A 12,592-nucleotide genomic window follows, 5' to 3' on the forward strand; every position below is an offset into this window, starting at 1 on the left:
AGCCTTTTTTCTAATAAGACATGAATATGTACAATTCACTCCCACGTGAGTGGCAGGGGTGTACGATCCCACACCATTCTCTTTCACTCAAGAGACCTTTTGCTGCTAAAATGTGGACAACTCTTAAAGCTGGACTTGGTTACACTATTCTCTCTACTTTTGCATATGGTTGAAAAATGCCATGATGAAAAGTTAAATAATGTTTCTAAAATTCCTTTGGAATGCAAGTGAGTGAAAGTGGTGCTATGATAAAGACAATCTAGGGTTGGCCAGTTTGATTTTTAAATAAGTGATTTATAACTGACACTGCATCATTAGGAATGAAGTGCTCGCCGCACAGCTCGGCATCCAGTGCAAGAGCAGCTGGCACAGCAAGCTGGAGGGCTGCAAGAGGCTGTCAGTTTGGCCCTTTCCTCTCTGGTTCCTTCCTCACAGGAACCCCCCTCCCCAGTGCACACACAGCTGCTGTGGGGCACTGCTTTTGCCTCCTCTTGTGTGGTAACCATTTGGAACTGCTTTTAATGGTGCTGTCGACAGTACTGAGGTTTCCAAATGGTAAGAATAATTTCCAGATAGTAACACAGTCAAGCATAAGGAGACACACAAGAATTGGCCTAGGTGTCTGCAAAGAGGGAGAGAGCACCAAAGGTTCTGATGGGGGAAACACAAACTAAATATGAATCATAAAAGCTATGCTTACCAGCCCAGGGCTAAGAACTTTGTGTGCATCATCTGAGTTAATCCTTTCAGCAACCTAGAGAGGTGGGGGTTATTAAGCCCTTTTTATAGACGAGAAAATGAAAGCACAAAAAGGCAGAGTAACCAGCCAAGTTCACAGAGCTGGGATGTGGAGCTCCCTAAACTGGCCTCCCTGACTCCACTGCCCACTTCATCTCCCAGTGTGAACCCTTGTTCCTCAGAGTGAGTGGGAGAGTTTGGGGTTGATTGCTTGAGCGTGGTGTGGAATGGCACAGTGAATCTTAAGAGAAGCAAGCAAGCTGGGTTAGGTAAACTTAGCCCAGTGCCTGGCACTTGCTAGGCATTCCATAGATATTTGAGATTTGGACTTTTGAACAGAGTTTCAGACATAGGGTCAGAGTGTGTGGGGGTCTCAAGCAGGTCAGGAACCACAGTCAAGCCTCTACATACACTTGAATTTTCCCCATGGCAGGAACCCACATTGAAGGTTCACAGGTGTGTCCTAGCGCCGTCCTGGGGCTGTGGAGCAGCTGCCTCTCCAGTGCCCGGGGTTTGCCATAAATGCCGAATCTCAGCCCCACCCTAAGGCACTGACTCAGAACCCACATTTTAACAAGCCTCCCAGTGACCTGTGTGAGAGGCACTGCTCCAACTCAACAACCCTCCTGCAAGGGAGCAAGCCAGCAGTCATCCTTCTACCCAGTACAGGGGAAATTTCTTTTTCCTGTACTAGGCTTAGGGAATAGCACTTTGGGGGGCTAACCCCTGGTGCTGCCCTAACCTCTTCCTCACAAAACCTTTCATACAGCTGTGAGAGGCAAACTTCTCAGTTGTCAGCATTTCCAGGAAGAAAGAACCCCTTGAGTGATCTCCATGTGACCTCGTCTGTCTCAGGTTCATGAACATGAAGGTGAGAGCAGCTCTTCCTCACAGCATGACCAGGCAGTGACAAACACGCCACATGGAAGGAAATGAGTGAACAATCCTCGCATATTCTGAAGTGAGTCATTGGCCTTTCTTGTGGACTGGGTACTGGATGATTAAATTTCTGGTTTCTGTTTCTTATTTCAGAATATATTGATGATGAACACATAGCGTCCCCCAAAGTGCAAGGTGCTGGGGACAACAGATCAGGTGGTCCTTTAAAACACTTTATACAAAAATAATATTATACTGTTACCACCTTGGTAACACAGTAAAAATAGAGGACAGGTAAGATGCCTCTGTAAACACGGACTGCTGTGATTTTGGTGACTAGTAGGGGGCAGAAACTCGAAAGTAGCTCCAGGGACGCTCACCTCTTGTGCTCCTATCCCACTGTCCATCTCCCATCTGCTCTGGGCTCTCAGTGTGGAGTGGAGCTGATAGTGGTCTCCACCACCAAGGCTCTGCCTCTTGCTTGAGCCCCTGAGCACCTACTCTTGGCACTCTGTGTGCTTTGCCCACTTAATCCTCACGACAGCTCTTTGAGGCAGGTATTATTATCCCTATTTTATAGATGAGGAGATTGAGGTGCAAAGAGAGGCTAAGTTGCCCAAGGTTGCATGTCTAAAAAGTATCAGAGGATGAGAATACAGATCTGACCAGGATTCTAAAGCCCACGTCATTCCCTCCACACCTGGTAGCTTCAGCCTTGCCCAGCTCCTGGTGGAACTTCCGGTAAGGGATGCTCACAGAGCACAGGGTGGGGAGCTCCCCTGGCACGTGGAAATCACATCACACTGTTGGCTGGCAACTCCACTTCCATGTCAATCTGGTGCCAGCTCCGGGATCCTGAAATGCCCTGCATGAATCATCAAGGGACAAAAAGAGGAGACTTTCCAGGGACTGACGCCCTCCCAGCCACCGTGGGATCCCGGCTACTGTGACTGAGCCCAGTCATGACTCCAGAGTGCTTCACATCACATCATTCTTTCTCAGCATCCAAAATGTGAGTCCTCTGGGCATGAATTCTCTCCTCCACTCCACTCTCCATGGCTCTCCTGGTCCCTTCCTCTTTCTTCTCCCTACCCCTTTCTTTTCCAAACCTCTCATCCATTCTTCTCTATAGTCCCCTTCTCCATACTTGGAGGCCTATGCCTTCTTAATATCAACCTTCTCCAACTTTCCTGATCATTAAAGTCACCTGATCATCAGAATCATGCACATCCCCTGGCTCCTGTCCCAGAGGTCTGAATTGGAGAGATCCAAGTGAGACCTGGCAGCCAATGTTTAACAAGAGCCCATGTGTCCTTATGATCAAACACATTTGGGAGACCCCAAACCACACTCCTCCTGTTGTAATCCACCAAACACTGTTCCTAATTCACCCTGGAAATGGCTGGGGTCCTCAAAGCCACCCACTCCTGTCCTGTGACAGCACCTCCAATGCTCCAGCCTCAAAGTAAAATGACCTCCCAACTCTGATCACCTTCACCTGTGCTCCACCTCAGCCTACACTCTGGCCCACCTGGGCCTTGTTATTCCCTGGGACTGCTCCTCCCCTGACATCGTCAGGCCAATAGCCTCTTTCTGCCCACATTCCCCTCGCCCTCCCACATTCCTGTTCCCTGGCACCTGGCCCTTGAGCATAATCCTGTCATGCATCGACATCATTCTGGTCTATCAGGCCCCTCCTGGGCTTCCTTCTTCCTTCCCTGCCCACCCATGGTTAATCACATGAGCCAGTTTGTTGTCAGTCTGGACCCATATCCTTCTGTTGTACTTACTCAGGAACGCTCAGATTAATTCATTCCATCTTCTCTGAAATCTTCAGAGAAACCCCACAACCCTGCAGGCCCACCCCATCACAAATCTAGGGTAAGCTCAACTTCATCTAGAATTAGAGCCCATGAGGCCATCAGGCTCCAACTCCCACTCCTTTTCCCCCTACAATGGAACTGACATCACTGTCAACCTCTCCACCTGTCTCTTCACTGTCTCACTCCTGTGGTTCAGTAGAAACCCACCCAGTATGTTCTTGCTGCCATCCATCCCATTCCCATCCCACTCTATCATCACCCTCTTTCTCTCTATCTTTAATGCCTCCCTCTCAGCTGGCTGTTCCAGCTCAGCCAGTTAAGCTGCTCAAGTTTCCCTTGCCCTGAACAGCTTGCTCAATTTTATGCCCCTATCTACCATCTTTATCCAATCTCCTGTCTTCCTTTCACTGAAGGCTCTGTAATTCTCTGCAGTCAGGCCTGCCTCAGCCCCTCCTCTGAAATTGCGCTCCCTGAGGTTGATAATGACTTCTTCAGTGTATGATCCTGTGGACAGGATTCAGAACTTGTGTTACTTGGCTTTTCTGCTATATTTGACATTGTTGACTGCTTCCTCTTTTGTGAATCTTTCAGCTCTTGTGACCTCTGAGACACCGTTTTCTCCTGACTCTTTTGCTACCTCTCTGACAGTTTCCAGCCTGTCTTTCTGTGTGTCCTCTTTCCCCAACCACCTTGAAAATGGGCATATCCAGGTCCTGCACTTGGTCTACTCTGCCTGGTTATCACACATACTTCCACAGTATAATGCAACCTGCTACTGCTTCTCTCTTTTTTTTTTTTTCTTGAGACAGGATCTTGCTTTGTCGCCCAGGCTGGAGTGCAGTGGCAAAATCAAAGCTCATTGTAGCCTTGACCTCCCATGCTCAAGCAGCCTCAGCCTCCCGAGTAGTTGGAATTACAGGCATGAGCCACTGTGCCCAGCTCTGCCTCTTTAGCTTAGTTTTCACATCCAAATGGTTTGCTAAATGTTGATTATGGGACAGACGGTTTAAAATTTGCACACTCCACAGCCAGCTTCCTCTTCTCTTGAATTCCCACATATTAGGATGGCATCTCCATCCAGCTATTGCCCAAGCTGGAACCCTGGGAACCACCCTGGGTCCCAGTCTCTCTCCATTTCTACCCGCACACAAATAACACACAGCCAATCTCTCACCAAGGCCTGGGGACTTTATCCCTAAGGAATCCTCAAAGTCATGCCCTCCTCTCCTTCCCCCACCACCACTCTGGCCCAGGGTCCCTTCCTCTCTCGCCTGGACTCTCCATTGCTTCCCAGCTGGTCTCCCTCCCTCCCATCCTGCCCTTCTCCATTCTGTCTTCCATGCAGGCCCCAGAGTGATGTTTCTGAAAGGCAAGCTTGATCCATCCCTCTACCACTTAAAGCCCTTCAAGAGCTTCTTGCCACCCATAAGTGGAAATTCAAATTCCTCAGGATGCTTCCCCTGAACTCACCCTTTATTTGGTGCCTCCAAGCCATTGCTCCTACAGTTTCTTTCATTCTCTATCTAACCAACTCCCATCCCTTGCCCAGGCATCGTGTCCCCAGCAACTTCTCTTTTGGCTCTGGGTTGGCACTTCTCAAGCGTGTTCCTGTGTTACTTTCCACTTACCAGATTATATGGTAAATCCAGCTATTAGCTGTGGAGAGAAAGTTTGAAGACTGTTTTAAGGTGTTACAGCCTCCTCCAGCCCTGATTGATACTCAGTGACTGGGAGCTGGCGTCTCCGTGCACCCACAAATGTGTCTGAAGCCAGCCCTCCTCTCCTCCCTTAGCCTCTCACAGTGAAGCAGCAGGACCACCCAGGTACAGCGCACCTCGAGCTCTGCCCCTCAAAGGGAGTGGCCTCTCCTGGCTATTGGCAAAGCTACCAGAAACTTGGCTTCAGACCATTCACATCTAAACAGGTGGTCCAGATATTCTGGCAGGGATGTGCATGTGAGTTTAAAAGGGGGAGAGATGGAATCATAAAATGCCATGTTTTCAGACTACCCTAAACCCTAAGGGCTTAGGCTGTTCCTATTTGTGTAACCCAGTTGTGAGGGGATAGTCCAGCTGGGAGGGAGGGCGTAGCCCACTTACCTGCCCACCTCAGGCATCCTGAGATGCCAGAGCAGGCACCCAGGACGCTGTTTATAAGACAGCCTACATGCCCTGCTGGGAGGAAAGTGAAGAGGCCGAGATTGATGCCAGAGGCCCCAGGACTTGGGGACGCACTCTCTTGAACAGTCTTGGGGGCACTGCCATCAGCCTTGGATAGGTGGGGGATTCTCACTACTATAGGAGATGGGGAGACCTTCACCTGGGCCTGATGTGCTGAATGATGCCAGAGAGAATACTATACAATTGGACTCTGTGGCATCCTTCAAGTGTCCTCTGACCCAGCCCTGGAATGGGTCACAAGCCCCTTTAAAGAGAGGGCTAGGCCGGGCGTGGTGACTCAAGCCTGTAATCCCAGCACTTTGGGAGGCCGAGACGACGGATCACCTGGGGTCAGGAGTTCGACACCAGCCTGACCAACATGGCGAAACCCCATCTCTACTAAAAACACAAAATTAGCCAGGCATGGTGGCGCATGCCTGTAATCCCAGCTACTCGGGAGGCTAAGGCAGGAGAATCGCTTGAACCCAGGAGGCAGAGGTTGTCGTGAGCCGAGATCGTGCCATTGCACTCCAGCCTAGGCAACAAGAGCAAAACTCTGTCTCAAAACAAAAACAAAAACAAAAAAACAAAACAAAGAGAGGGCTAGAAAAGCTGGCACATCCAGGCTACCTTCTGTGTCCTACTGAAAGCCAGCTCTGCTCACAGGAAGGGCTACGGCGGAGGCAGGAGAAGCAAGTTCAGAGGAGGCAGCAGCGGAAGCAGGATGGCCAGTCCTGACCACTGAAGCAGAGCATGGGAAGCAGGACAAGGCAGCTCAGCCAAGGGGGCAACTGGGGGCTGAAATCTAGCCTATGCACCTGTATCACAAGCTGTGTGTCCTGGCGCAGGACTGCATTTGCTGGGGAAAGGGGAGCCTATTTCTAATCTGCAAAAAGGTACCATTTTGGATTGTCACAACCTTGACAGATAAGACACTGGTAGCAGCCATGAGAAAGTTTAGGAGAACATAAAAGGAACCCAGGATCTGGTGATAGATGACAAGGGCTTTGGGATCCCCAAGGACCTTACTGGGTGGGGGCTTAGAATTTCAGCCCATTGAGATGCTTCCCAGGCCTGTGACTGTGCCCTACTCCTCCTTTAACCCCTTCAGGACCATCCCACTCACTCCAAGCCTACCCCAACCACGAGGCCTCCGTGGCCAGAGGAGAGAAGGCAATATACTCATGACTGTGGCCCTGGCCACCTAAACTCCAACAACCCATTCCTGAGTGGGGTGGAGGATACTTGATAAAGAGAGGTGTCCTTAGTCTGCCCTGTGACTGCCACTGTGCTCAGCCTTTAGCATCAACCTTCGCTGCTAAGTCAAGTCTGTGGCCAATCTGTCTGTGGCCTAATGTCAGGTGAAAGGGGGCTGTTGAGTTTTCTCCTTTTGTTTCATTCGTATTTATAGCTTTACCTTAACAGCATCCACTACTGACGACAGCCCACAGGTTCTAACCTGCCCAGGAGCTTCTAGGAAGATTATAGCCTTGTTCTGAAAGCTAACAGCACACAACACAAGGGAATCGTGCCTCCTGCTTTTTTGGCTTGGTACAGAAGGTGGACAGGCAAGTGGAGCACCCTCTTAGGCATAGACAGGGAGGGGATGCAGCGCAGGGGACCTAGCTTTTCTGAACCCCTGCTTTCTGCTGTACATATATGTTCATATTTAATTCTCCAACAACCCTGTAAAACAAGTATCATTATCTCCATTTTACAGATGAAGGAACTGAACCTCAGAGAGAAGAGATAACCCTGGTCGGCCAGTAAACTGTAGAGATCCAATTTGAATTCTCCCCTCTGTCTGGCTCCGACACATGGGGTTTTCTTAACTCACACTGTGTCACCTGCAGAGTGTTTCCCTTCGGGGGAGAGAAACCCAAAATAGTGAAAACGAACAGAAAAAGTTTGAAGAGTTCTGCTTCGGCACTTGAAGCCAATCTCCCTACAGTCTTCTTCCTGTTCATGCTTCCAAGATGCTATCAGGGAGGCTGGGCGCTGGGGACATTTACACTCCTTGCCTCCCCAACCCCAACCTCGAGGATTTCTGTAGGGGTGAAATCACCTCATTAAAGCTGTACCTTGTTGCGGGGGCGGGGGTGGATGGGCAGAAGAACTCATGAGGTGATCATATACCGGCCTCAGTGATTCTCTCCTCCTCCCGGCCCCATGTCTTGTTTTTAAACTCCAGCAAGGAAGAATCTTCTTTCCCTCCAGCCAGCCTTTCAACCCACTGCTCAAACAAAGCATTTTCTCTCAGAGGATGATTGCCAAGACCCACAGTTTAGTTCATGTGGGAGTGGAGAGGGGCCATAAATAATAATAGCCAAGTTTACTGAGTGCTTATTATGTAATAGCCAAGCACTGTTCCAGAGACATTACATATAGACCCATTTCACACACACAGGTGCACACACACACACACACATACACACAGTACAAATGAGGAAACAGACCCAGAGAGGTTGCCCGCCATTTGCCAGCTCTTATGAAGGGACTTGGACAGCCTGGCTCCCAGATGCTGCCCTGCCTCTCAAAGATCATCTCCCCTGGCTACCCCACCCCATTTTACAGGTAAGGCAATGAGCCCAGGGAGGTGAGGGACTTGCCTGGCCAGTCAAGGGCAGAGCTAGTCAAGTTGTCAGATCTTCTGACCAAAAAACCCAAGGCTTTTTCCTCCACCCTGGGGGCTCAGCACACCCAAGACTCCAGGAGTATGCCAATTGCACTTCACCCAGTTCAAAGTTTAGATCCCCCCTAATGCTTTAAACTAGAAAATTCTTTTTTTTTCTTTTGAGACAGGGTCTAGCCTTGTTGCCCACGTTGGAGTGCAGTGGTGTAATCTTGGCTCACTGCAGCCTCCTCCTCCTGAGCTCAAGCCATCCTCCCACCTCAGCCTCCTGAGTAGCTGGGACCACAGGGGCACACCCCTACACCTGGCTAATTTTTATAATTTTGTAGAGATAGTCTCAAACTCCTGAGCTCAAGAGATCTGCCTGCCTCAGCCTTTCAAAGTGCTAGGATTACAGGCATGAGCCACTGCGCCTGGCCTAGGAAATCCTTAAATGCCTATTTATTTGGACATGCCACTGGCAGACATCTGCACTGTACCTGAGCATCCCCGATGGGCTCATAGAATGCTAACTATAGCTTCCACCTATAGGTTAAACAGAGATTCTGCCCCTCTCCCCTCCTTGGCAGATGGATACAAACAGAAGCCAGGAGGAACAGCAGCACCTCACACATCTAGTAGCACTCCGGCAACGACTCTGAATACTCCCTGCAAGGCCGGCAAATATTTTGATAATCTTTCCCCTACAGGATTCTCCTGTGGAGAACAAATGGACACAGTCGGGAGCTGTCTTTCAGCGGAATTCCACAGGAAGAAACATTTCATCAGTGGAGAGGGTTTTGACTCAGGCCTTTTGGGGAGGGAAGCAGATTGCTCTGAGCTACTGCGGAGGGTAGGCTCTGCCCACAGGCGTCTGCCGTCCCCTCAGGACCTAGCGCAGGGCAGGCATGTGGGCACCCTCAGCGGACCTCACCAGGTGGGAGGCAGATGGTGTGCTGTTAAAAGCACAGCCTTCGGGGCAGCCAAACCTGGGTTTTGAGCAGTGGCTCTGCTGCTTGAAGCTGTGTGACCTTGGGCAAATTCCTTCACCTCTCTGCTCCTGTTTCCCCACTGTAAAATGGGCGTAATGAGAATATTTGCCTCTTGGACTGGCCCTTGAGAATTAGACCCAATGATGTCAAAGGAGCATGGAGCACAGGGCCTGCCACACGCAGGCACTGAATAACCACAGCGGTCATCGTGAGGTCCCCACTTGCCTTGAAGGGAGCTGTGTGGCTGAGTTCTCCGCTGTCACTGGTTCCCTTATTGAGCTTGCCTTAGGGGGCCCAAGGCCTCCTTCCAACCCAAAACGTGCCTTCGAGAGGGGCAGAGACCGGCCACCCCACGTGTCTTCCATTGGAATGGAAGTCAGGGTTCACCAGGCTGGGGGAGGGCATTGATGCCCTCATGTGCATCGGTCTGTTGGGCCCTGAGAAAAGCCCTAAAGATGCCTGGCAGGGGACATCTCTTCACAATGACATATTATTATTTTGAAAAAGATGAAGCCGAATTAGCAAGCATTTATAAAAAGTGGAAACAAAATGAAGCCACTGGGACAAAAGAGACACTGCACAGACCAACCACCGTGTGTGATGAGGGGCTGGGCAGGCCCACAGGGGCCTGTTTTATGTGGTGGCCCTCTTTGTCCCCACTCTGCCTGCTTCCCAGGCCTGCCCCTGGGCCTCTCTCCAAGGATGATTCTGTCTCCATTTTTGGTATCTACAGGCCTTGTGGGACTGGGAGGACTGAACTGGGCCCAGCATTCTCCAGGTGACTCACCAGGCAGGCCATGCAGAAAAGCCACTTCCTGCATCCCTGAGTGGCCAGTCATCCTCCTGGTACCTGCCTTAAGAACATGTGAGCCACCCTCAGGGGCAGGGTGGGACTGGGCTGTGCTCCAGGCATGGGCACCACATAGAGAAGGGCTGAGTGAGTGTAGTGGAAGAACCCAGGCCATCCAGGAGCCTGTGGCTTGGGGTGGGGTTGGGGGTGGACACAGTGTTCCTGGTGCTTTCTCCACAAAAGAAACCTCACCTTCCTAAAGCTATCGATCCACCCACTGGCGCTGTGGCAATGAAATTCTCACGGGGGAAAGTCTCAGGGCCAGCATACCTACCCCTGCACACTTCATGCCCCCAAGCACAGCACGCCATTGCAGCAGGCCCCTTCCTGAAGCTGCGCCCCCATGAATACGCCCTGTACCCATTCTGAGAATCAGGTCTGATATTATGGGAAGAAAATGTGTGCCTAGGCATGGCGGGGAGGGGCAAGTTAGGCAGGTCAGGAGGGAGAGTTTTGACAAGAAATCCAAGCACATGGGCCACAGAGGAGTCTTAAAAACAACCTCAGCCCAACTGTCTCCTGACTGTTCCCCCAACTTATCAGCTCAGGCCCAGGTCAGAGGAGGTCCAGGCTGGCCTGGCACAGCAAGTTGAGCCTGGTTCCCAGACCCTGCAGCTGGTTTTGAGCAATGGAAGTGGCAGTGAGTCTGTGCTCATGGAGTTCCTGGGCTCAGGCCCAGGTGGGGGTGGGGATGGGGGTTGGGGGGATGTCCCCTGTCTTCGATTTGACTCTGCTGCTCCAGTCACAGAGCTCTCTCAGAGGCAGACATGAAGCCAAAGCACTTCATTAAGACAGGAGGTCAGATAACAGCCCCAGCCCTCTTTGGAAACCGCACACCGCCCAGTGGCATGGAACAGGCCAGGTCCCAGCCCTCCCAGGAGTGCCAGGCATTGTATTTCAGAACTGAGCTTCAGCTACTCCCACAGGAAGGAGACGACTTGCTCCTACCTTGTTTTTAATTTCCAGAATACTGCAATCCCCTTAGGAAAACTCATGTTTTCATGATAGAATGGCAGCTGCCCACGCATGTCAGAGGCTTCAGACCTGATCCTGATCCTGATCAAGCCTGGAACAGTGATCTCTGGGCAGCAGATGAACAGCCCAGGGACCAGCAAAGAGAGCCTGCCCTCTGTGGTCCAAGGCTGGCCACCGCGGCCTGTGCTAGGCAGAAGAGCTCACAGGTGTGTCCTGCTTTACTTAACTCAAAGACAGCTGCTCAGAAGTTGCCTGGAATTGGAACTGTGATCAGGCCAGGCCCTCCTTAGGTTTCCAGAGGGACTGCTTATCATATATACTACCTGTGTGGTGAGGGGTCTCACTTGAAGACATAAAAAATGCACTCCAAACAGGAAAACAACTTTTAAAAATTATTGACATTTAACGATCAGCTGTGTGTGTATTAGGGATTTTTAAAAAGTGAAACACAGCCAGGCACAGTGGCTCACACCTGTAATCCCAGTACTTTGGGAGGCTGAAGCAGAAGGATGCTTGAAGCAGGAGTTCAAGACCAGCCTGGGAAACAAAGCAAGACTCTGTCTCTATTTAAAAAATTAGCAGGTGTCGTGGTACACTCCTGTAGTCCTACCTACTCGGGAGGCTAAGGCCAGCGGATTGCTTGAGCCTAGGAGTTTGAGGCTGCAGCAAGCTATAATCTTGCCACCACACTCCAGCCTGTGACAGAGCAAAACCCTGTCTCTTAAAAAGAAAAAAAAAAAAAAGAGATAACCCTGCAGGCTTTCAAATTATATACACATATAATGATAATATACTACATTTATATTATGTAATTTGGTTTACAGAGTGCTTCTATATGCCCATTCATTTATTTATCCAACAATATTATTGAGCCCCACAAAGACCCAGATATTCTCCTAGGCACAGGGAGATACAGCGGTGAGCAAGGTGCATAAGGCCCTCTGCCACTTCTGTTGACCTTACTGTCTGGTTGGGGGAGGCAGACAAATGACAAACAACAGACAAATGAATCAGCAAGACAAGTCCAGGGAGTGACGAGTGCACGAGTCAGGTAATGGCTACAGCCAGACTATCTAATACAGGAGCCACATGTGGTTATTTACATTTAAGTCTAAATGAATTAAAATTAAGTGAAATTAAACATTCAGTTATTCACACTAGCCACATTTCAGGTGCTGAATAGCCAATGTGGCTAGTGGTTAGTGGTATATAGGACATTTCCATCATCACAGAAATTGCCATAGGGCAGCACAGGGCTAGTGAGAGACTTAGGACTGATTTGGAATAGGTGGTCAGAGAAGGCCTCTTTGTGGAGGTGCCTTCATTTGGAATCTGAAAATGAGAAGAAACCAGCAGCTCACAGGCCTGAGTGGGAGTGGGTGTGGGCAGACAGTTTCACTCACTCTAGGGCAAAAGTCCACATTTAGACATAAGTTTGGCAAATTTGAGGAACAGAAAGAAGTCTGGTGTGACTGGAGTGTAATGAGGTGGGGGTGGGGAAAGTAGAGACGATGAGGTCAAAAGTAATAATAAAAACAGCTGTGATGGCTGTTGGGTGCTCATTA

At 50.1% G+C, this 12,592-nt stretch overlaps 1 protein-coding gene and 1 long non-coding RNA gene across 14 annotated transcripts in view, besides 6 other annotated features; one reads left to right on the forward strand and one right to left on the reverse strand.

The window, feature by feature from the left end:
* Nucleotides 1-12,592, reverse strand: part of BCAR3 (BCAR3 adaptor protein, NSP family member) — a 286,411-nt gene that overhangs the window by 130,076 nt on the left and 143,743 nt on the right. The gene's annotated exons all lie outside the window — the stretch shown is intronic.
* Nucleotides 1,183-2,382: an enhancer, noted in NCBI's record as "P300/CBP strongly-dependent group 1 enhancer chr1:94158555-94159754 (GRCh37/hg19 assembly coordinates)". NCBI's record gives its function as "activates an origin of replication core promoter dependent on BRD2, BRD4, P300/CBP, MED14 and CDK7 cofactors, with strong dependence on P300/CBP, by STARR-seq in HCT116 cells {active_cell/tissue: HCT116}" and the evidence as "EXISTENCE:reporter gene assay evidence [ECO:0000049][PMID:35650434]".
* On the forward strand, nt 1,335-11,839 carry LOC102723480 (uncharacterized). 4 transcript variants are annotated; one of them, XR_947602.3, is made up of 4 exons: nt 1,335-1,699; nt 2,198-2,358; nt 2,463-2,629; nt 7,320-11,839. It is a non-coding gene; the product is annotated as an uncharacterized LOC102723480 (long non-coding RNA). The 4 variants fall into 4 exon arrangements; XR_007066228.1 differs by lacking the exon at nt 7,320-11,839 and adding an exon at nt 5,233-5,462; XR_426726.4 differs by lacking the exon at nt 2,198-2,358.
* Nucleotides 1,392-1,561: an enhancer, noted in NCBI's record as "active region_1334". NCBI's record gives its function as "activates an Ori minimal core promoter by ATAC-STARR-seq in GM12878 lymphoblastoid cells {active_cell/tissue: GM12878}" and the evidence as "EXISTENCE:reporter gene assay evidence [ECO:0000049][PMID:35858748]".
* Nucleotides 9,330-10,529: an enhancer, noted in NCBI's record as "MED14-independent group 3 enhancer chr1:94166702-94167901 (GRCh37/hg19 assembly coordinates)". NCBI's record gives its function as "activates an origin of replication core promoter dependent on BRD2, BRD4, P300/CBP and CDK7 cofactors, and independent of MED14, by STARR-seq in HCT116 cells {active_cell/tissue: HCT116}" and the evidence as "EXISTENCE:reporter gene assay evidence [ECO:0000049][PMID:35650434]".
* Nucleotides 9,330-10,663: a biological region, named in NCBI's record as "MED14-independent group 3 enhancer GRCh37_chr1:94166702-94167901".
* Nucleotides 9,753-10,663: an enhancer, noted in NCBI's record as "H3K4me1 hESC enhancer chr1:94167125-94168035 (GRCh37/hg19 assembly coordinates)". NCBI's record gives its function as "activates a minimal SCP1, AML or CMV promoter by ChIP-STARR-seq in primed H9 embryonic stem cells {active_cell/tissue: H9 hESC(primed)}" and the evidence as "EXISTENCE:reporter gene assay evidence [ECO:0000049][PMID:30033119]".
* Nucleotides 12,106-12,185: an enhancer, noted in NCBI's record as "active region_1335". NCBI's record gives its function as "activates an Ori minimal core promoter by ATAC-STARR-seq in GM12878 lymphoblastoid cells {active_cell/tissue: GM12878}" and the evidence as "EXISTENCE:reporter gene assay evidence [ECO:0000049][PMID:35858748]".

Source organism: Homo sapiens, chromosome 1 (genome assembly GCF_000001405.40).
Source record: "Homo sapiens chromosome 1, GRCh38.p14 Primary Assembly".
NCBI lineage: Eukaryota > Metazoa > Chordata > Mammalia > Primates > Hominidae > Homo > Homo sapiens.